Source organism: Homo sapiens, chromosome 11 (genome assembly GCF_000001405.40).
Source record: "Homo sapiens chromosome 11, GRCh38.p14 Primary Assembly".
NCBI classification, from domain to species: domain Eukaryota; kingdom Metazoa; phylum Chordata; class Mammalia; order Primates; family Hominidae; genus Homo; species Homo sapiens.
Window position 1 is genome coordinate 19,639,437 of NC_000011.10, and position 25,024 is coordinate 19,664,460.

General features: G+C 43.7%; 1 protein-coding gene across 11 annotated transcripts in view, besides 1 other annotated feature; it reads left to right on the forward strand.

Annotated features, from left to right (window-relative positions):
- The window catches only part of NAV2 (neuron navigator 2), a 776,366-nt gene that overhangs the window by 294,201 nt on the left and 457,141 nt on the right, over positions 1-25,024 (forward strand). The gene's annotated exons all lie outside the window — the stretch shown is intronic.
- Positions 20,810-21,009: an enhancer, noted in NCBI's record as "active region_4523". NCBI's record gives its function as "activates an Ori minimal core promoter by ATAC-STARR-seq in GM12878 lymphoblastoid cells {active_cell/tissue: GM12878}" and the evidence as "EXISTENCE:reporter gene assay evidence [ECO:0000049][PMID:35858748]".

Below are 25,024 nucleotides of genomic sequence, written 5' to 3' on the forward strand. Positions count from 1 at the left end.
TATACTTTAGATCTAGCACTGTATATAGAATGGCAAAATATTTTGAGATATTTTAGCAACAAAGGATGTATTTATTTCAAGAGGTTTTCCAGTTTTTAATAAGGTTGTGTGTGGGGAGGACACTTTCCATAGCTGTATTTTTAGGTTGATTCTCTGTGAAACCAACCACATAGGCCCACTGATGTGGAGGTAGAAAAAACAACCCCATTGCCGATAGGGCTGTGAGTGGTCATCTACTTTCTTCAACAGAAGGGGAAACAGAGGATCAGAGAAAAGCAACGTCCTGAGTGTCTCACTCACAGGCACCCCCTACAGAGTGAGGGATGGGGCCAGGGCTTGTGTGGAGCGTTCTCCCACCGCTACATGCTGCCTGGCCTTGTGATCAGGGAGATGGAGTGGGAAGTGGAGAAAATGTGGGGATACCCCCCTAGAAACTGGTAGCAGGGTGTAAACATTCAGTTCTATCTAAGGCCTGGTTGGCAGCCAAGGGGATGGCTCATTCAAATTCAGCATGGGTGAAGGGAAGATGGGAAGGAGACTAACCCGGCTTCTGCTCACTTGTTAAAGTCAGTTTGTGTATGTAAGTGAAGCAAGCTCTGTGACTACCAGTGAAGAACGAAGAAACCTACTAAGCAGATAATTGAATTCAAAAACAGCCATTTGGGCTTTAAAACATCTATATGTTTCAGGGCAAAGTGGGGCTCGAGGCTTAAGTTACCCAAATAACAAATTCCATTTCCTAACTTACCTGGAATGGCATTTTCCAAGCAGAGCTATTAATAATAGATATTCTGGGAAGAAAGGTTGTTTTGGCCAACAGATTTGGACGATATACTGGTCAACCAAGTTGATGGGTATCTTTACTGCAGGACTTCTCAGAGCCTGCTCATGTGTATCGTGAAACTCTGAGAGAAGATTTTACTGTGGTATGATATTTTAAATATATGTATGCACACAAATACATATAATATATAAAAATACATATAATATATACTACATATACATAAATACACATATGTAAATACATTATAATATATACTACTATATCTTATAGTATACAGGATTTTCCAGATTTACTCACTTGAAGATCTTTTTTTCCCCTTCCATATCTCAGGGGACCATTATTTCAGGGCTGACATTGGGAAAAACAGTTCTGTATGGTGTTACCCATCTTCTATGCCTGAGAGAACATTTTAGGAAAAGAGATGTGGTTCTAGGAGGAGAAGGATAAGGATAAAAGGATGGAGGTTAGCCAGTCCAGTGTTCTGGGCAGGTGGCTGGACTGTGAGCTAAGAGATGCAAATGTTTGTCTCAGGAGAGATGATAGCTGACTTCTTATCCTCTGGAGATTCTCCAAACCTGGACATGCTAAAATCTAAGACTTACAACAGGTATCACACTTGTGAAGGGACATTGTGGCACTGATGTCAAGCTAGGGATGGCCTGAGCAACTGCAGACACCAGGGATGTTTAACCTGGGGACCCAGGACACCATTAGCGCTATACTTCCCCAAAGTCCCCACCTAGGGAAAGGAGCTGGTTTTCCTCCTAACCTCTAGGGAGGAACACAACCAGGATCAGAGCATCAGTGTTTTGGAGAGGCAGAGTTCAGCACCACCCAAAAGAAAGCTTTCCAGAGACTGTTGCTGTCCATCGCACTCTGGGCAGACAGGCCCCTGTGGTAGCTGGCTCACCATCCCATGCCCACCTGGGAGGGGCAGAGGTAAGTTTAAACCCTGGATGAGGTATGATTTCAAAGACCTTTCCCAGCCCTAGGAATTTTGACTCTACATAGTTTGACTTTGTAATAATATTGACCAATGACAGCATTTTCTAATTCCCTTACCCTCTATATTCAATCTAGCAACAAGGCCATCATGTCTGCCTACGAAATAAGTCTTCAACCTATCCATATCCCTCCCCCTCCACTGCTACTCCCTTAGTCCAAGTGGCCATTACTTTATGCCTGGAATACTGCAGGAGACTCTTAGCTGGTCTTGCTGCCTCTATTCTTGCTATCTTTTAACCCATCCTCCTCAGCAGCCAATGAGTTGAAACCCTTGGAAGAAGGGCAAATTCCTCACTGTGACCTGCCAGGCCCCCCTGAACTGATCTGAGTCTGACTGTACAATCTCCTCTCTTTCCACTTCCATTTTTGCTTACTACACCATGGCTATGCAGACCCCCACAAACACAGTGAGCGCTCACCTTCCGGCGTTTGCACTGGCTGCTCCTTCTCTTTGAAACACAGTTCCCGCTGCTCTTCCTATGGTGACTCTTTCTCATCCTTCAGGCTTTGGCTCAAATGCCCCTGGCCCCGCCCAGGAAGCTTCTGTGCTTACCCTGTCCACATCAACACAGCCTCTATTGCTATGGCTTCTACCCACTCTCTTTCACAGCCCTTTGTCTATTTCCTTTCTGGCACTTATAACAATCTGAAATATAATTTTTATTTATTTATACTTTGATCCATCTCTGCCATCCCTCCCATTTCTACCTAAAATTCAAGCTTCCTAAGGGCAGAGACTTTATTTTGTTCACACTATATTCCTAATACCTAGAATAGTGATTGGCATATAGCAGGTACTGAATAGATATTGGTTGAATTAATTAATTAATGACGGGCTGCTCTGTTTGTTGCCGAGATGGAAAGTTGAAAGCCTTAGATGAAGACTCCTCTCTGGGGGATCCCACTGGACATCCCTATGCCGTATCTCTACTTTCCCACAGTGGCACTGTACCCATAATGATGACTTCCCCATCTGCACATACTCTTCAAGTCCCAGCCAGCCCCACCCAGGCACAAGCCAGGGAGGAGGCCATTGTTCAATAAGCTCCAGGGTGCTTCATCAGACCTGCACCAGAAGACAAAGCCATTTCCTAAGTGTGAGAATTGCTCAGTACAGTGTTAGGAAATCTTCCTCCCTGGAGAGCTTTTTAAATAGACTCTCATTTTTCTGGGGTTATTTTGAGCAAACTTCCATCTGGAGATGGAGAATGAGACAAACCAGGAACTTAGATGACCTCAGGAGTTCCTCCCTGATCCTGGCTGAAGGATTCTTGTCAGACCTGCAGTTCCACTGCTGGATTCTCTCTGTCTCCTAAATCATCCGCTTTGACTTCTTCCTCTCCACCTGGGCTCTCTGGATGTGCCAAGGCGCTGTACATGGAGTCAACAGCTTTGATTAAGCAGCTTTGATCTCTGTTGAGCATCTCGGAATAAGATCTTTGCTCTCAGCATCTGTGCCAATTCTCGAAATAGTTTAGCTCAGCCAAGCAGGAGGGGGGCTGGATTGCAAAGTGTATTATATGAGAAATTTAAAAAGAAAAGGCAGCTGCAAACAGTCAGGGGTGTGTGTGTGTGTTAATGTGGGCACCCATGGCTCCTGGGAAATGATTACCATGCTATCAGCATGCACCAACCCTGTATTCACAGTGGCTGCCTGCTGCGAGAAAGTGGGCAGCTTGCAGCAGTCAAACCCTTGCATCAGGTGGTAGTTCTGTTGGAGAAACAAAAACATCAAAGACCTTTGCTTCTATTGACTTGGCTTTTGCTTATTTTCACTAAGGTATTCTGAGATGTGTGCCAGCGTGTGTTCTGCATAGCTGCCATCTGGTGTGGGGTTGGGTGTATGCATACAGGGGGAATCACTATGGTTTTGAGGTGTTGATCCTATACACAATTATATATATACATGCCACAGGATGGATGTATTTGCTCTTCTTTTTTAAAATTTTTTTATTATACTTTAAGTTTTAGGGTACATGTGCACAACGTGCACGTTTGTTACATATGTATACATGTGCCATGTTGGTGTGCTGCACCCATTACTCGTCATTTAACATTAGACATATCTCCTAATGCTATCCCTCCCCCCTCCCCCCACCCCACGACAGGCCCCAGTGTGTGATGTTCCCCTTCCTGTGTCCATGTGTTCTCATTGTTCAATTCCCACCTATGAGTGAGAACATGCGGTGTTTGGTTTTTCGTCCTTGCGATAGTTTGCTGAGAATGATAGTTTCCAGCTTCATCCGTGTCCCCACAAAGGACATGAACTCATCCTTTTTTATGGCTGCATAGTATTCCATGGTGTATATGTGCCACATTTTCTTAATCCAGTCTATCATTGTTGGACATTAGGGTTGGTTCCAAGTCTTTGTAATTGTGAATAGTGCCACAATAAACATACGTGTGCATGTGTCTTTATAGCAGCACGTTTTATAATCCTTTGGATATATACCCAGTAATGGGATGGCTGGGTCAAGTGGTATTTCTAGTTCTAGATCCATGAGGAATCGCCACACTGACTTCCACAATGGTTGAACTAGTTTACAGTCCCACCAACAGTGTAAAAGTGTTCCTATTTCTCCACATCCTCTCCAGCACCTGTTGTTTCCTGACTTTTTAATGATCACCATTCTAACTGGTGTGAGATGGTATCTCATTGTGGTTTTGATTTGCATTTCTCTGGATGTATTTGCTCTTCTAAATATGTGTGTTATATTTGAGCACGTACATACCAGGAACCTGGCATTTAATCATCTCCATGTAGATAAATGCATAAGTATCTTGGGTTAGTAAGTAGGTACCCCTGTGCGTATGTGTCTGTGTATGTGATACCTCTGTGTGCGTGTGTGCATGTGCACACACACACACACAGCAGCCTTTCTGTGAGTTTTGTTGCCCTGGAGGGGGATGGGGTATGTACACAGCAGAAGCATGTATGGTTATATTTGCATGGAGGTGAATTCCAGAAAGAGATGCTGGGGAAAAGGTGTTTCATATCAGGACATTTTGAACTGTAAGTCATTATTTTCTCCACTTTGATGCCCAACCCCTGGGAAACTTGTCCTTGTGTATAGCCCCTCTGGATGTACAAGTAAAAGAAAAATGTCTCTATTTGGGACCATTTGTTCCTCCAGAGGAAGCATTTTTTTGGTATTGGCTGTTGCTGCGAGAAGCCTTTGTTCCTATGGTGGCCCCAGGCCGGTGGATATGAATTAATGCATCTCATATAACCCTCTGTGGTAGAGGCCTTTTGACTGAAGCTAAAGGAAGTGGGAGCCAGGAAGGCGGACTGTGGTCTAATATTGCTTGTGATCCAACCATTCCTGTGGGTTCCTTTGCTTTGAGGATCCCTCAGCCGTGGATCACAGGGCAGCTGCAGAAGACCAGGCTCTTGCTGAGACTGGGAGAGTAAAGCCCTGGAAAGAAGTAGTGGATTTTCTGGGGCCACTACAGGGCCTGAGACTGCAGGAAGAGATTCAGAACTGGTTGGGGTGTGGACCTCCGCTTGTTGGGCCTCAAGTAAAGGGGAAAGTAGGCAGCAGAGATGAGATCTGAAAATCAGGATAGATGGGCCAGCAGGCCAGGGCAGAAAAACCAGAGCACAAAGGTATGGACCAGTTTATGGCATTATCTGTAGCCCAGGTTGGGCTTTGACTGAATGTTGCATCTGGTATTTTACACCAGTTGCTTGGTTGTGGTTGCCTGGAGCATTGTATTGAAAATAATTCATAGGCCAATGAATTCTTATGGGAAAAGAAGGTGGACGTATTAGTTTTCTTTTTGCTGCTATAACAAATTATGAAAATTTTGTGGCTTAAAACAACGCAAGCCTATTCTCTTACAATTCTGGAGGTTGGAAGTCCAGTACGGGTTTCACCAGGCCGAAATCAAGGTGTCGAAAGGTCTGCATTCCTTCTGGAGGCTCTAAAGAGGAATTCATTTATTTGCCCTTTACAGATTCTAGAGGCTGGTCCTATTCCTCAGCTTGTGGCCCCTTCCTCCATCTTCGAGGCCAGCAAAGGCCAGTTTGAGCCTCCCTCATGCTGCATCACTCTGACACAGACTCTCCTGCCTCCTGCTTTCACTTCTAAGGACCACTGGGATTACACTGGGTGCACCTGGATAATCCAGGAGATTCTCCCTATCTCAGTATCCTTAAATTATTCACATGTGCAAAGTCCTTTTTACCATGTCAGATAACATTTTCACAGATTTATGGGATTCAGACGTGAACATCTTTGGGGGCCATAATTCCACCTACCACCATAGGGATAAATTAGTAATGTCTGCCCAGGACCTGGTATAGGTTTGGGGTGATAAGGATGCCAGATATTCACCATCCCTAGTCTGGCAACTAACAACATGTAGAGTTAGGAAAGGGATATCAACACGCTGAAAAGGGATGAGAAGAAATGGAAACTAAAACTTACTGAGCTTTTACTATAGGCCAGGCACTTGCTATATGATTCAAAAGCATGTCTCATTTATTAGGTTGGTGCAAAAGCAATTGCGTTTTTTGCCATTACTTTTAATGGTAATGGCAAAAACCATTACTGCAATTGCTTTTGCTCCAACCTAATAATTATCACCACAACGCTGGTTGGATGAGGTGGAAACTAGTATTTTACAGCTGAGTAAAACTGAAGCCCAGAGAGGTTAAGTGACTCTTCCAAAGTCACCCAGTGGTAAATGACAAAGCAGAAATTCAAAACCAAGTCTAACTCCAAAACTACACCATTGCTGCGGCCAAGAACCTGGGTAGCTTCTCTCATGCAATGTGATGTCATTAAAGGTAACATTGGCTGCCACGGGCAGTGATACCTCATTGGCTTGATGAAAATGCCTGGCACTGAGCTTTTCTTAGAACCTGCACCCACCTTGCAGATTATCCCCTGGCTTTGCAAATGGGGTTGAATGAGAGGCCAGGGCTGGGGGCTTCAGCCCCATCAGCAGAAATGCTAATGGCCTCTTGAGCAAATGCCAGAAAACCAGAAAATGCACACCCAGCATCTCTGATTATGACTTTATACCAACATGCTTCGTGTTCTAATTGCTCCTCCTTACCAACCTTGAGGGGCTGCAGAATGGAGCTCACTGAGAAAAAGAAAATGGAGGTGTGGGATGGGAGCTCTATTTCATTTAATACAAATATTCTTAACTGCACATCAGGCCTGTTTGAAATGGGGCAGAGAAAGTTTGGCAGGCAGGCTTCCTCATTCTTTTTGTCTTTTGTATAGGCAAGCTCTGGGCAGCCACACATGGCTCATGACCACATCTGAGCTGAGGGCGTGTGGTGATGTTTACCAGGTGCTGAAAACTACTGGAAGTCAGAGGGCAGGAGGAAGAATGGGTTCAGAAGAGTTACAGTACAGGATCTGGGGAGCTTCCCAGGGTGTGGGGATGTTGGGGTATATTTGAGGGTGAGGGTGCTGGCCAGAGGCAGGTAATCATACAACAATTTTCAAATAGCATCTATACTCCAGGCACTGAGCTAGATGCTTTAAATATAAAACCTTTCACCTTATCAACAACATTGTGAGGTAGGCATTATAGATCTCTCCAATTTATAGATATAGAACATGAGGCTCAGAGAAGTTAAGTAACTTGCACAAAATCACACAGCTTGAATGTGGCAGAGCCTAGACTTGAACTCAGATATGACTTATACTACAACCCATCTCTCTTCAGGCACTACAGGAGGACAGCCCCCTCCCATACTCCCTCTCCTAGGCCTCCAGATTTTCTGAAAGCTCTGCCACAGGCAGGTGGCAGGAGTATCAGAAAATGCCAGCTGTTCCTGCCACAAGCAGAGGTGGAGTAAGAGACGACACTTTTTCTCAGGGTCTCTGGCTTGAGCTGCTAGAACTTGCAATCCTGGTGCCTGTGGTCAAGATTGTCCAGATAGATTTCCCTTGGCGAGCTGCCCTCAGCACTTAGAAAACCACAGGCCTGAGAGGATGTGGCTGAGCGCACATGTGCCTACATACTTTGTCCACTGTTGCAGATCTCCCAGGCTGATGGGTTTCCAGAAGTCATAAAGATGCTGGCTCTGTTCATCAGTTGATGCCACCATGGAAGACTGTGGAGTAGTCCTCAGATCATACCTAGGGTTAAAGCTGCTCTTTGCTTCCCAAAATGTCCCGGCTTTTCTGATCCTCCCAAGCCTGGAAATTCATAAGTCCACTTGCAACACAAAATGAGCATCTGCTGGATGGTCAGTATCTGCCCACCTCCCTCCAGCACCAACATCATCCCTCATCCTCATTATAACTCTGTGAAGCAGATGCATGACCCCCTTCTAGAGATGAGGAAACCGAGGCTTGGGAAGGCTCCAGGACATGTCAAGCTTCTGCAGCAAGCAGATGGGAGTAGCAGCACTTGCATCTGGATCTTCCAGCTCTTGAACCTGGACTTGGACACCCATACCTTGCTGTGTCTGTAGCCAGTCACCTTTAGGTTGTGAGCCCTGGCCAAGGATGGATGTGGAGTAGAGGGAGAAAGTCAAGGCTTCTGACCCACACTTTTGTTTGGTGGAAGCAGGAGAGAATAGGTGGGCTCTGGGCAAGAGGGCAGAGGTTCTGGCTCTTTCTCCTAACTGTGTCTGCTTCAGAGGTTTAAAAGTTAGCGGTCATTGAGCTCCTATTGTATGCCAGGTATAATGTTAGAACTTTTACATTAATCCTCCCAACTGTTGTGAGTCAGACAACATTAGTCTTATTTTACAAAAAAATGACAACACTGAGGCTTAGACATTGTAGTAGCTTCCCTACATTGATGTGGGACAGGCTTCTCTGTAGGGGAGGGTGGCTTGATATGCTGTGGTATGCTGGAGTCAGCTTATACTCGCACAAGAGCCAGCTGTTAATTTTTCAGGAATTTTGTGAGCTACTTGTGAAAAGCAGTTATTATTAAAAATTAAATTTTATAATCTAACAATTAAAACAGTATATTAAAAACGAAGGTAATAAATACTCAAAACTCATCATTTCTTTCCTACTGTCTATGCTCTTGAAGTTATTTTAGGTCTATTGTTTCTAGATGGTGGAAACACTATATAAAATACTATGTAATGATTTACTATACACATCTCTTCCCCTGCCACATTCAGTGGTGCCATGGCAGTAACTTGACATCAGCCATGATGGGAATATTTACACCACAGCAATTGCAAACATGCCAAATGAGAGTTGGTTTTATTTTTCCTAGAGAGCCAGCTGGTAAACATTTTCCCGCACATCACTGCCTGATAGGCCTCAAGCATATCATGTTTCAGAATGGGGCCCAGTAGCTAAGAGGAAGTGCCCAAGGGTCATGAGTCTCAGAAGCCCAGTCCACACTGGGATGGCTCTTATGTTTGTTGGGTGCTGGCCTTGGTTCCACCGTTGCTGCTGATCTGCCAAGTGAAAACAGCCCTGGAGAGTGGTTGGTGATGGGGCCCCCTGAGAGATCACAGGCGTGGACTTTTTCTACTCTGCTATGGTTAGCCTTCAGGATAACAAGGTAATGTCAAACATATATCTGTCCTTTGAAAATTATACCCTGGCAGTAACACAATTAAATACTTGTACAGTTATTATTAGCTAGGTGTAGAGGAATCAGATAATACAGATAAGCCAAAAAGAAATAAAAATTGTCCAAATTTCTGCCACCTAGAAACAATTAATGTTAATATTTTGATGTATTTCCTACCTGATATCTTACTATGCTAATTATGGACATTTTTAGTAGATTTTATTACACTTGATGTTTTGTAATTGGGTTTTCTTCACTCAACATTATAAGCATCTTTCTGTGTTATTTTTTATCCATAGAAATTTGTTTTCGTGGCTCTATAGTATTCTATCATGTGTACTTACAGCTCCAGTTTTGGGGCATTTAGGCTAATCGTAGTGTTTCTATAGCATAAACTGTGCTATGAGGAACATTCATATCACTAAATCCTTGTGATTCTCCTCAGGATAAATTCTCTAGAGTAAGACTGCTATGTCAAGGGATATAGAACAGTGCAATATTTGCATCTGGTTAGTGGGCTAACATTCCCACCATTCCACCACTTAATTTGAGCTACAAGAGCTCTAGGGGACTTTCATAATAAGATTATTACTCCTGTGTTTCAAATGACCTCGAGAGAATATATTATAAAGAACACTGTCCTGGTCCACTCAGCCTTCTGTCACAGAATACCTAGACTGAATGGCATATAAACAACAAACATTTGTTTCTCACAGTTCTGGAGGCTGGAAGGTCAAGATCAAGATGTGGCAGATTTGGTGTTTTGTGAAAGCCTGCTTCCTGGTTCACAGATGGCTGTCTTGTCATTGTATTCTCACAGCGAGAGTGGAGGGGTCTCTCTGGGGCCTCTTTTATAAGTGCACTGATCCCACTCACAAGGGCTCTGCCTTCATGACCTAATCACCTCCCAAAGACCCCAGCTCCAGATCCCATAACATTAGAGATTAGTTTTCAACATATGAATTTGGGGGAATATAATATTCAGTCTATCATAAACACATAACCAAATAATAAGAAAACAATCAATGCAATTAAAAATTGAACAGAATATTTGAACAGGCACAAAAGACATATGAATGGTAAATAAGCACATGAAAAGACCCTCAGTATCATTGATAGCCAGGGAAACGCAAAGAAAACGATAGTGAGATACTTCCACACTCCCATTTGAATGCCAAAACACAAAAGTGTGACAAATAGCAAGTATTGGCAACGACATGAAGCAACTGAAACTTTTTCTGTCGCTGGCAGGAATGTAAAGTGATTCCACCACTTTGGAAAATGGCAGTTCTTATACAGTTAAGCATATACTTACCATATGTTATGGGTTGACTTGTCTTCCCCAAAAAAGATATATTGAAGTCCTAACCTCTGGCACCTGTGAATGTGACCTTATTTGGATACAAGGTCTTTTCAGATATAATCAAGTTAAGATGAGATCATGAAGTTGGGCCGTAATCCAATATGACTGGCACCCTTATAAGAGAAAAATTTGGAGACAGACAGCTGCAGAGGAGAATGCCATGTGAAGACATAGACACAGAGGGAAGGTGGCCCTGTGGAGACAGAGGCAGGTATGGGAGTTAGGCTGCCACAAGCCAAGGGCTGGAACTAGGGCTGTCAGAAGCTGGAAGAGACAAGGAAGAAACCTCCCTAAGAGGCTTCAGAGAGAGCGTGGCCCTGCTAACACCTTGATTTTGGACTTATAGCCCCTAGAACTGTAAGACAATAAATTCCTGTTGTTTTAAGCCTCCTGGTTGTGGTACTTTGTTATGGCAGCCCAAGAAAACTAAAACACCACCCACTGTATGACCCAGAACTTCCATGCCTGGGTATTTAACCCAGAGAAATGAAAGCATAGGGCTACACAAAAAACTTGTTTATGTAGGATCATAGCAGCTTTATTCACAGTAGCCCCAAACTGGAAACAAGCCAAATATCCAACGACAAGTAAATGGATATGCAAATTGTGGTGTATTCACACAGTGGAATACTACCCGGCAATTAAAAGGAATGAACTTCTGACACGTGCACAACATGAATGAATCTCAAAAACATGCTGAGAGATAGAGGCCAAACAAAAAAGACTATATACAGAATAATTCCATCTGTATGAAATTCCATAAAAGGCAAACTTAATCTTTAATGACGGAAAACAGAAAGTAGAGCTTTTGGGGTGATAGAAATGTATATATCTGAGTGCGCTGGTGGTTACAGAAGTATCTCATTTATAAAAACTCATTGAATTGAACACATAAAATGAGTGTTTTATTCTATGTAAACTATTTCTTAATTAAGTTAGCCTAAACATGGAGAGCTATTTGCCTGCCCTTAGTCACACAGCTCTGATGGCCAAGCCAGAACCTGAATCCCATCATCTGAGTCTCCGTTCAAGGTAGCTCTTGGGAGAAGAAAAAAAACACCCCACTAGGTCTGTAAAAAGCCATTAGGTTTGTAGAGACCCTCTTGACACACTTCAAGAGCCTTTTCCTGGAAAGCATTCTTCACAGCTAATCTCCAGGGAGAACGTCTTTTCTCAAGGGTTCTATAAGAGCAGAGAGATTAAATAAGAGCCTAACTCAAGCATTTTCAACCTGCTAGGCCCCAAGGTGGAGAAGAGAGGCCTGGGTACACTTCCCTTGGGACAGAGGCATGGAGAATTTCAGAACCTGTGATGCACATGAAACATATAATGTGCCATGTCTGTAAGACGTGCTTGTTGGAATGTCCTTCACTGCACACCCCACCGGGCCACATGGCTGCAGAGGTGCCCACATCAGTGAGTGGTCAGACCATGCCTTGGGTTGGCAGTGTTACCTAGAGGTCAAGATTCCCCTGTCAGCATGGGCTTGCTGAACCTCAGTTTCCTCATCTTTAAAGGAAGCACATGACACCCACTTTGAAATTTCATTGTGAGAAGTAAGTGGGATGATGTATGTGAAGCACTTAGCACCATGTGGCATGAGGTAAAAGCTCAATGCATGGAAACTTGTTTTATAATTTGAATTATTACCAATCCTGACTCATTTAAGAGCCTGAGGAGGATCTGAGTGAAAAACTGAGGCTGAATAGACCAGCTTAGCCATCCACCTTAGCCCTCATAGCAAAGACAGGGCAGATGGCAGCCTTGACAGATGGCATCTGTTTCTAAAAACCATTTCTGGCAGGATGAGTCATAAAGCATAATAGGATATGCTTTTTCTTTAAACCTTGAAGGATGAGTATTTAGATACACCAGAACTTTGAGGACGTTGAGTGACAGCGTAAGAAAGCTGTACTGCATGCTGTGGGTAATGGTGGACCATAGAACATCCTGGAGCAAGGAGTGACCTTATTTCATAATAACTCGGATGCACAGTGATTAATCCAAGATATTAACCAATTAAATGAAGCCTATTAGAAAAAAATGCCACTTGTCCCCCTACAATCCCAGCTAACAGAAGCCTTCATTCAGAATCTACCCAGGGTCAGGGGCTTTGAGGAGTGCTTGGAGGAATCTTGGTTTATTACAAGTGTCCTCGGGACCATCCTCATTCCAGGGCTGCTCCGGTCTGAAGCCAGCAGAGCTGACATGCAGGGTGGGTTCTTGTGGGGTCCTGGGTCAAGGCAGCCTCCATCCCAGCCCCTCTGCAGAGGTGCTGAGGATGTGGGCCAAGGGTCAGCTGTGAGGGCTGCACAGTTGGATATTTCTCTGAATAAACTGTGATATGCAGTGAGGAATCAAGGCTTCCCCCAGACCCTAGCATCCTTGATTGTCTAAGCTTAGGTTTTTGGACAAAGAACTATTGGTTTTCCCCTCTTTTCTTCCCCCCACTCCACGCCCACCACTGCCCTTTTCTCCCTTAGCTTCCCAAGTAACACATGCATAAAGCAATCACTAGCACAGAAGGATGCGTGGTAAAAAGCACAAGTGTCGCTTTATCCTCCATGGCTGCCCTGAGTCTGCTTCCCCACTGCCCAGAGGCTGTCACCAGTTTGGTGTGCAGCTTATGCATTTACCTGAAGTTATGTCCACAAATGACTACCAAGCTTTTTTAGCATAAATGGAACCATCCCATACATAGCATTCTCCACCTTGCTTTTACACTTGGCAGCTTTCCATGGCAGCACATAAATTTGCTTCTTTCTCTTTAATGGATGCAAAGCATTTCATAGTTTGCATGGACTACAATTTATTTAACCAGTTTCCTGTTGATGGGTGTTAAGGTTATCTCCACTTTTTCTGAGGCCACAAAGCATTGGTTTTTATTTGCCAAAGCTCTAGGGAAGGCAGAGATTGTCCAGCCACAGACCCCAACTATGAACAGTGCAGCTTCTCGGTAGCCATCCTTTCTCCATTCCCTTCTTGAGGCTCCCCATTCAGCTCAGCCTCTCCTGCTGTTGGCCTTAATAGCATGTGACACTTGGCACAAGAGCCACTGAGCAACAGAGGAGCTTCGTTCTATCTCTGATGTGGCTGTGTTTCTTTAAGTGCTCTTGTTAATGTTTCATGATGGATGGCGGTGAAACATGGGAAATGTACCAGCCTGAGTTCTTAAAGTATCTGCTCACACTAACTTAATGTATTCATTTATTCAGCGTGACAGTGAAAGTAAAAAAGTACTGTGAATGCATAGGCAAGCTTCAGAGGGAGAGTAAGGAGGACAAGAGGAAGAGAACTAACATTTATTAAACCTCTTCTAAGCGCCAGGCATTTTACATTTGTGAGCTCACGAATATTCCTCACTGTACCCAGAGAGTTGCTAATACTATTCCCATTTTGCAGATAAGAAAACTCAGGTGATGCAGCTTATCCAAAGACGTGTAGACAGGCAGAGACTGGCATCAAAACCTCATGCTGTTTCTGTCCAATTCTGCTGCCCTGGTTGCTGTGTTATTGGAAGATATCAGAGATGGTAAGGCATGACAACAATAGCTAACATTTATTGGGTGCTTACTATGTGCCAGGAGTCATCCTAAGTTCATCCTGTATATGAACACACTTGTAAGGATGTGAGATAGTGAACAACTGCTATACCCATTTTGCAGACGAGGAACACAAAGCTTAGAGAGCTTAAGTAATTTTCCCATGGTAACGCATCCCAGCTGGCAGAGTTGGACTTTGAACCTGAGAAGACTGATACCTGAGCTCCTGGGCAGAGCCACTCCACCTCCCACACTCCCCTGGATGATCAGACAGGATAGAATCTTAGGGGTGACCAGGAAGTCAAATTGTCCCTGTTTGCAGATGACATGATTGTATATCTAGAAAACCCCATCATCTCAGCCCAAAATCTCCTTAAGCTGATAAGCAACTTCAGCAAAGTCTCAGGATACAAAATCAATGTGCAAAAACCACAAGCATTCTTATACACAAATAACAGACAAACAGAGAGCCAAATCATGAGTGAACTCCCATTCACAATTGCTTCAAAGAGAATAAAATACCTAGGAATCCAACTTACAAGGGATGTGAAGGACCTCTTCAAGGAGAACTACAAACCACTGCTCAACAAAATAAAAGAGGATACAAACAAATGGAAGAACATTCCATGCTCATGGGTAGGAAGAATCAGTATCATGAAAATGGCCATACTGCCAAAGGTAATTTACAGATTCAATGCCATCCCCATCAAGCTACCAATGACTTTCTTCACAGAATTGGAAAAAACTACTTTAAAGTTCATATGGAACCAAAAAAGAGCCCACATTGCCAAGTCAATCATAGGCCAAAAGAACAAAGCTGGAAGCATCATGCTACCTGACTTCAAACTATACTACAAGGCTACAGTAACCAAAACAGCATGGTACTGGTACCAAAACAGAGTTATAGACCAATGGAACAGAACAGAGCCCTCAAAAATAATGCCACATATCTACAACTATCTGAACTTTGACAAACCTGACAAAAACAAGAAATGGGGAAAGGATCCCTATTTAATAAATGGTGCTGGGAAAACTGGCTAGCCATATGTAGAAAGCTGAAACTGGATCCCTTCCTTACGCCTTATACAAAAATTAATTCAAGATGGATTAAAGACTTAAATGTTAGGCCTAAAACCATCAAAACCCTAGAAGAAAACCTAGGCAATACCATTCAGGACATAGGCATGGGCAAGGACTTCATCTCTAAAACACCAAAAGCAATGACAACAGAAGCCAAAATTGATAAATGGGATCTAATTAAACTAAAGAGCTTCTGCACAGCAAAAGAAACTGCCATCAGAGTGAACAGGCAACCTACAGAATGGGAGAAAATTTTTGCAATCTACTCATCTGACAAAGGGCTAATATCCAGAATCTACAATGAACTCCAACAAATTTACCACAAAAAAACAAACAACCCCATCAACAAGTGGGTGAAGGATATGAACAGACACTTCTCAAAAGAAGACATTTATGCAGCCAAAAGACACGTGAAAAAATGCTCATCATCACTGGCCATCAGAGACATGCAAATCAAAACCGCAATGAGATACCATCTCATACCAGTTAGAATGGCGATCATTAAAAATTCAGGAAACAACAGGTGCTAGAGAGGATGTGAAGAAATAGGAATGCTTTTGCACTGTTGGTGGGACTGTAAACTAGTTCAACCATTGTGGAAGTCAGTGTGGCGATTCCTCAAGGATCTATAACTAGAAATACCATTTGACCCAGCCATCCCATTAATGGGTATATACCCAAAGGATTATAAATCATGCTGCTATAAAGATACATGCAGACGTATGTTTATTGTGGCACTATTCACAATAGCAAAGACTTGGAACCAACCCTAATGTCCAACAATGATAGACTGGGTTAAGAAAATGTGGCACATATACACCATGGAATACTATGCAGCCAAAAAAAGGATGAGTTCATGTCCTTTGTAGGGACATGGATGAAGCTTGAAACCATCATTCTTAGCAAACTATTGCAAGGACAGAAAACCAAACACTGCATTGTTCTCACTCATAGGTGGGAATTGAACAATGAGAACACATGGATACAGGAAGGGGAACATCACACACCGGGGCCTGTTTTGGGGTGGGGGGAGGGGGGAGGGATAGCATTAGGAGATATACCTAATGTTAAATGATGAGTTAATGGGTGCAGCACACCAACATGGCACATGCATACATATGTAACAAACCTGCACGTTGTGCACATGTACCCTAAAACTTAAAGTATAATAAAAAATTTAAAAAAAAGAATCTTAGGGGTGACCAGAAAGATCAAAGAGCAGCCTCACACTCCTCCAAGCCACTGGTTGGAGAAGGAAGATTGTCCAGCTGATCCCTTGGTTTTCAAAGAGACAAGCCTCTGCTGGGGGATTGGGAAGATGTCATTTTCAGAACATATGACTTGAGAAAACCTTTCCGTGAAGGGGCTCAGCAGTGTCAGCTCATCTTGCTGTGCTATGGTTATCTCACAGCACAGCTTCAAGCTAAGTTGCTATCTAAATAGCAGATAGAAATGACAAAATGCAGAGCACTGAGGAGTGGCATGCAGAGACCACCATTACCAGGGAGAAGAGCTGCAGGAGGCGCTCTGGGGCCAATTCTCAACAGCAAAGGCCCATCCCTTGTCACGGGGGCCTGTACCTTACTGGTTTTTGTGGTGCGTCATGCTTTACTGGACTCTCCAGCTCAGCATTCATCTGGCAGAAGGGCCATCAAATGCAGAGCCCCTGAGGCTGGAGGCAGCTTGGTGTGTGTGAGGAACAGAAAGAAGGCCATTGTGGTGAAATGCCGTGAGTGAGGGGGGAGAGGCACAGACAGGAGACTGGGGAAGGAGCACAGAGCCAGATCATGCCCAGGCTTGAAGGTCATGTTAAAATGTTGGATTTCACTCCATGTTTGAAGGGAAGGCATTTATGTTTTAATCTGATCTCTCTGGTTGCTGATGGGTGAATAAATGGGCAAAGAGTGGAGGCAGGGGGACTTGGTACAGGGTGCCTGGGGACCCAGCCACACCCACATCAACTGAGATCATGGCCCCAGCCCAGACCCACTGACTTGGAATCTACATCCCCCTGGACTCCTGTGAGAAGCAATGCTCTAGGGGGAGAAAATGGTTACTTGGACTGAGACGGTAGCCACAGAGGAAACAAGGAAGCGGTCGGATTCAGGATATATTTTATAGATGGAGCTGGCTATGTTTGCTTGTGATTTGGATTCTGTGTGTGAGGGGAAAAAAGAATCAAGGATATCACCTAGGCTTTCCACCTGAGCACCTGGGAGAATGCAGGAGCCATTTACTCAGGTGGATACACTGGGGGAGGGAAAGGCCTGCAGAGGGAAGTGGGAGAACCAAGAGTTCTCCCTTGATTGTAATGCATTTGAGATGTCTTCTAGATGTCCAAGTGGTGCTGTTGAGTGGGAAGTTAGCTCTACAGATTCAGAGCTGAGGGGAGAGTTTGAGGCTGGGGGTGTATTAAAATCCATGGGAATGCCTAGAAAGTATGGATAGAGATGAGTAAGACCAGTGGCTCAACCTAGCCCTCTGGTATTTAGAGCTGGAAAAAGCAGGAGAGGCTAGGGTAGATCAGGAAGGCTACCATGTTTGCCACTCCTTTCTGGGCATCCAGTTTGTGCCAGGTACATACACGTTTTGCTAGTTTGTACTTCCCAATACAATTGAGCAGTTGGAACTTATTTTATACATTTAATATAAAAAAACCACCCTGTGGTTCAGAGAGGGTAGGCATTATTTGAGGATTTGAACTCAAGTTAATTTTCAACACCCATATTCTTTGGATTATGCCTCATCCAGAGGCAGATGGTCAAGTTGGCTGTGTATATTAGGGAAATATGGCCATATCTGAATTGTTGCCCATTTCCCACCATGCTGGTGCTTCCCACTTCCTTCAGCTTTCTGAAGTCACTCCTTCTCTGTATTCTGAGAGGGTGAGGAACACATGGGTTAGTGATACCAGGCAGGGTAGACCAGATGTGGAGGGCCTTGAGGGAAAGACTGTGCTAATGTCCCTCACCCTCCAAACGAAGATCATCTACTGCTCTGCGGCTCCAGACCCCTATGCGGGCAGAAAGTGAGTCAGGGAGGCATGAAGAAGAGCTCAGTCTTGAGAGGATGAGACAAGCAACAGATCCAGGCAAGGATCCTTCACCAGGAAGGGGAGCCCAGGGTGATGGATAGGAGCAGCTCATCAGAGCAGGGACAGAGGTATGGGGAGATAAAGACTCAGGTATTAGATCTGAGAACACTAGGGGACATGACCTGGGGAACACAGGTATTATTAACAATAATAATAGATCAGGTATTATTAACAATAAAAGCTACTATTTATCAAGCTCATACTATGTAACAGACACTGTTCTCTGGACTTTTGTTTGCGTTATAGTCATTTAATCACAAACAATAAATATATTTTACTCTGTGCTAAGCATTCTACATTTATAAACTTACTTAATTTTTCACAGCATTCCTATGATGTGGGAACAATTATTATCCCATTTCACAACTTAAGAAACTAAGCGCAGAGAGGTTGAGTAACCTGCCTAGGATCACACAGCGAGTAAGTGACAGAGCCAGCATTGGAGTCAGGCTGCCTGACTCCAGAGTTTAGACTTTTAGCTATTATTCTATAGTGAATACTTAACACACAGAAACTCATTCAATCATCACAACAGCCATGTAGATACTATTATTATCTCTATTTTACAGTTAAGAAAAGTGAGTCTTAGGAGGCTATGTGGTTTGTTCAAGGTCACACAGCTGGAAGGCAGGGGAACTAAAATGCTGACGGGGTCTTTGCATGGTACCAGTGTTCAAACTTTTACTTACCAGCCATAGTATCAGATCCATGCCACCTGGTGGAAGGCAGAGGTGGCAGAAAGAATGCTTTATGCTGAGCTCTTTGAATGTGGAAGCCAGACTCCCTAAATCCTCTTACTGAGGGTAAGATTGGCTCTAGATCTGGGTGAGCCCCAGCAGTATCCCCGTGCAGGCTCTGACTGGCTCATGAGAACTAATTGCTTGTGTCTCTTGCTAATTCTGCATTCACTGACACCACAGTGATTGCCTGAAATCAGCTATGGTGGGAGTATTTACACCATGGAAATCAGAAAATTCTACAAAGCAGGGGTTATTTTTCCATGACAGCCAATATTCCAGTACATGACTGATTAGATTTAAGCTGACATTTAGAATCAAGGGTGCTCAGCTGGAGGCACAGGAAAGTTATAGAGTCAGGAAGCCAGGTACCTCTCTCCACTAGTCCTGGGGAAAACGAAATCAGCAAAACATTCGACAAACACAAGCTTAGCAGCTAAAGGATGCTCTGTCTTTGTACCATTAGGCCCTGGAAGTACTTCAGTGAGTTAAATAGACATATTGCTGACTTATAGTCCAAGAGGGAAGATGGATAATATAAAGAAAACTAAAGAAATTTAAGTGTACAATTTCAAGTTGTGATATTATGAAGGACACAGAGAAGAATCTAATTGTATAAGGGGTAAGGAAGGTGACTGTAAAGCACTGGCATTTAGACCGGAGACCTCTGGTATGAAAAGGAGCCAGCAAGACCCAGGTAGGCAGAAAAACTTGGTGAAGACTGAGTGCTGGCAACAGGATGGGCAAATGCTGAGGCCAGTTCAGATGGAGTGTGTGGTGGGCAAGAAGCATAAGCTACGGCCAGATGGTGTAGGGCCTTGTGTGACACAGGAAGGAGTTTGGTGCAATGGGAAGGCATTGAAGAAGGGTCTTAAGTGGGAGTTAACGTGCTGGGGGGTGATGTGCTCTAATTTATGATATTAAAAGATGACTTTGGCTCATGTATAGAAAGTAGGCAGGGAGGAGAGTGGTCAGAGCAGAAGTAGGGAAATAGCAGGAATTCAGGCAAGAGATGATGGTGGCCTGAGCTATATAGGGACACATTGGAGATACAAGTAGGAAGCAGAATCAACAGGACAAGCTAAGAGATTGATATGGGCTGCAAGGTTAGAAAGAGGGTGGACTCAAGATGATTCATTAGTCTAGATCTCAGTTTCTTTGAGACATTGAAGACAAGAGGCTCAAACCAGAATTCCTGAGTTTCAATCCTAACCCTGCCATCTACTAGTGGTATAGCCTTGGGCAAGTGATTCAGTCCCTGAGAGCCTCAGTTTCTCCATCAGTAAAATGGAGATCATATTAATTTCTACTTCACAGGGTTGTTGTGATGTTTCAATGAGTTACTCTCTATGGAGTGCTTAGCATAATACCTGAACATAATGAGCACTACACAAAAGAACTATTATTATTATTATTATTATTATTGCTATTAATACTAGTCTATTGATCATTTCTCTGCCTACCATTAAGAGATTGAGCCTTTCCAGGCAAACAACTCTTGTTTGGAAAGAAAATGTTCTGGAGAGGAGTACCCCAGGCATCCTTCTCTCACTGTTTGTGTTCCCTTCCCCAGCAAGAGTTTGGCAGGCAAAGCTGTTCAAAGTAAACACAGGTTCAGTGCTGCAGAAAATATCAGGTTTGGTAGCACGGCAAGTCTGGACCAAAGGAAACAGGCTTGCTTTATGCCGACTTCACTCGGCCACTGCATCCCAGGGGCTGCCCCAGCAGGGCTGGTGCTTTCTGGCAGACAAGGCCTTGATCTGGGAGCTCTTCACCTGTCTGGTTTCTTTTCTCGTGTGACTCAGGATGAGTCATCACTGTCACTCACCACTTCCTGGCCTGGACATTAGGGTTCATACGTTCCTGAACTCAATACCCAGGCAACAAGAGATGGAGTCCAGAAGAAAGCAAGTAGGGAGGGGAGGCAGTGGCACTGGGCAATGTCAGGAGAAATTAGAGGTCCACAGGGTACTAGGGAGGGGGAGAAGCCACCTGGAAAGAGCATCAGATCCCAACAAAAGTCAGGATAACCCAACCACCTCTGGTTTCAGACACCTAGACAGCGTTCCTCAACCTTTCTGATCCCATGTCCTGCCAGTCGAGAAAGTGTGGACAAGATATAGTACAAAAGTAACAGGTAGATCTGTTTGCTTTCACAATATAAAATTATAATATTGAATATAATTTCTAAACATTTGTCTGCTGCTCCAAGGTTCTGAAATGAGCCTGAGTGTAGCATGCCCCCAGTCGAGAATGGAGAGTTGTCCTTCTAACTATAGTAGTAGTAGCAATCATAATAGCACTTTTCTGTGCAAATGCTCTAAAAATTGAGGGAAAGTGGGGCTTTTGTTTGGTGTCACTCTTTTTTTAATTGTGGTGGAAATATATATAACATGACATTTACCATTGTAATCATTTTTAAGTGTGCAGTTCAGTGGCATGAAGTACATTCACATTGTCGTGCAACCATCTCTACCATCTATCTCTGTAACTTTTTCATCTTCCCAAACTGAAACTCTCTACCCCTGAAATAATAACCATCTACCCTGTCGCCCCAGCTCCCAGCCCCAGGCAACCACTATTCAGCTTTCTGTCTGTATGAATTTGGTACTCTAGGTACCTCACATGAATGGAATCCTATAGTGTTTTCTCTTTTGTGTCTGGCTTACTTCACTTAACACAGTGTCTTTAAGGCTCATCTATGTTGTAGCACGTGTCCGAATTTTTTTTCCTTCTTAAGGCTGAAAAATATCATACTGTCTGGATATACCACATTTGGTGTATCCATTCATTCTTCCATGGATACTTGGGTTGCTTCTATATTTTGGCTATTGTCAGAGTGCCACTGTTGACACTCGGTTTGATGAGGTGATTCAAAGTCAAAAACATCGTAACAATAAAAGGCCTGGGTTTTTCTGTTTGTACAGTATTTAAACTTGTCAGAGCGCTTTGAAACTAAGGTGTAAAGGAAAAAAAAATAAGTGTTTGTAAAGACCAGACAGACCTGGATTGTAATCCTGGCTTTGTAGCCTCATTAGCTTTGTGCTCTGGGACAAGTTCCTTAAATATACTGTATTTCAGTATCCTTAATGTGTGAAGGAGTGAGGAAATTGTGCCCAGTGTGGACAGTTATTATGATACTAAATAAGAGAACAAGTGTGAAAATGTTGAGTAGAGTCTGACATTCAATACTCAGTGGATTTCATTGTTGATTTCATGTTATTTCTTTGTATCCATTCAATTCAAACGAGAATCTATAGTTAGGTGGGACATTTATCTCATATAATAAGGAAACTAATAAGAAGACTAATTGCTACTCAATTAATTAGTGGTAGAAGTCAAATTGGAACCCAGGGCTCTTGAATTTGAGGTGAGGAATGATCAGGCAGCAAGTCACATTTGATGTATATGTCCACCCCAATCAATTGCTACTGGCTGCCTGGAATGCAGTGGAAAAGTGCTGGGTTTGATTAGCAATGTCTGCCATAGTTGTGGGAATGGGAAGTGGGGGTACAGCAGCCACATGTCTACTACCTCTGGCTTAAATTATAGCATCACTTAAATTCTTTTTAAAAATGTGTGAAGAGGAAGATCATCTTCTGTGTGTGGTTTTAAACAAGTTTATTACAAAATTAATAGAAAAAAAGGTGAAAAGAATATGAGACTTCTAGTTTACCTACCATCAAAGACCAGAAGGTTGTTATCCAAAGTGAGTAAAAAAAATATTATGATTGTAGCTGATCCCACAGCAGAAGGCCGTTTGCTGTGGTCAGAGTCACTGTGATTACCAGACTGAAGCAGCTGCCTACCCAAGGTGGCCTTACTCCCTGCCCATCAGTGGGGTGAGGCAGGAGGTGGAAACACCTGATAGAAACTGGTTGGCAAGGTTCATAGCATGTAAGACCAGATCCCTGCCTCCTCAGGGAAAGAATAGCAATTGCTGAGAGGCCTACCTTTCAGCCTTTCAGAATCCATGTGGGTCCCATGCCCCACGTGTTCTTCCATTCCTGCTAACCACCACATGTCAGGCAGCTGGAGGGGTGACAGTGTGGCCCTCAGTTGTCTGGCACCCCAGTGGCACCGGACAGGCCTGCCTGTGAGCCTTCTTTCCATTCAGCTGCTTCCTTAAGATGAAGCTCTGCCCACTGGCTCAGGAATTCCTGTAGCAGGATATAGGCTTCCTATAGTAGCACCTGCCTGTCTCACCCATGCCTGAGACACTGAAGCTTCAGGTCCAGTGCCAGGTAGCCTTTTGGCTACTTTTCCTGGGCTGCACGCCCTCCTCTTGCCACTCCATATCCTTATTTCTTGGACATGGGACCCAGATGATGCCTGCTAGGGCCTTCCTGACTCACAGAGGACCACTTACAGTTAGCTTGAGTGCCACATTCCATGCCTCGTGGAGGTCCAAAGCCCTCCCCAGTTTCAGTCAGTTCTTGATTGGGGAGTGGTAAGGATAAGCCATTTGCCTAGTCCCCTGAGATCCCACACTTTTCCTCTGTTGTTTACTGACCCTTTCCCCCCAACCAGCCCATGTTGACTCTGTTCTCATCACATCTGCTCACCTGGAAACCCAATATCTCTCACACAAGACAGTGTGTATGTGTGTAGAGTGTACTAAAGATTTGCTGGAGAGACAGAGAGGGGATATGTATTTTAGAAATGCATGTAATTTCATATTGAATATTAGACATGGTGTGTGTAATACATGAAAATAACACAAGCTGATGTTTATGGGGTGCTTATTATATGGTGGGCATTGTGCTGAGCATTTTATATACATTATCTGATTTTACTGTCCCCACAACCCCATGAATTAGACACTACCATTATGTCAAATTTGCAAATAAAACAGAGGCTTAGAGAAGATAAGAAACTTCTGAGGTTACAAAGTCAGGAAGTAGCAGGGCTAAAGAATTGAACTCAGGCAGTCTGACTCCAGGGCCTGTAATCCAAAAGCTGTTCCTGTGGTCCCCTGTCCCCGACCCCCATGGTATGGACTTTTCATTGTCTGCTCCATTGTCATATAGCACCCAGCCTCACACCATCCTAGTGGCATATTCTCTTTTTCCAGCTCTCATTGCTTATCCTCCTTCCTTCTTCATTTTATCTCCTTCCTTTCAGATGAACATAGAAACTGCAATATTTTCTCCCTCTATTATTCAAAACAATTCAAGTCTCCCCAGCCCTTTGCTTCCAGCCTCCTCTTCCATCTTGGATTCCATCAAAGTTCTCTGCAGAAAGAACAAAAGAGCCTCACATACAATAACATCCATATATCTTCGATGTTAAGAGTATGGACTCATTTTCTAATACATGTTTTCTGCTATGGGGCAGGGATGACAACCGTGTAGCATGTGACTACCACTCCCCACTCCAATACCCATGGCAGGCACCGCTAAGTACTGACAAGATTCCTTCCTGCCAAGCCCAGACCACAGCTTCAGAATCCATGACACAGTGCACAAGAAGGCCACTATCAACTTATCTGTTCTGTTATGTGAAAGGAAGCCTTTCTTCCCTCTCAAAGGGTGAACCCACAGCTATACAGGTAGGGAACCAGACCTCCCTTGAAGCCAGAAGGCAAAACCCAACTTCAATTATTAAAGAACACCAGAACTTGATAGATAGGCCTTAGACTGAAATTGATTTCTTTCTCTGAGTCTCCCTCTTTTTTAGTTTACGCTCTTGATTGAAGCCTCCTTTGGGTGAGAGGAAAAAGTCAACCCTTCATCACCTGGATACAGGTCCTATAGCTGGGCATGCAGGCATGGATTGGGTCTTTTGCAGATGCCAGACTGAAGGTGAGCTAGATTTGCCAGTTTCCTAGTCCTGTCTGTGCTTCCCTATTGCTATCCCTGAGCTTTTAGTAGTCATGTTTCATGTCCCAGCCTGGTTATGACTGGT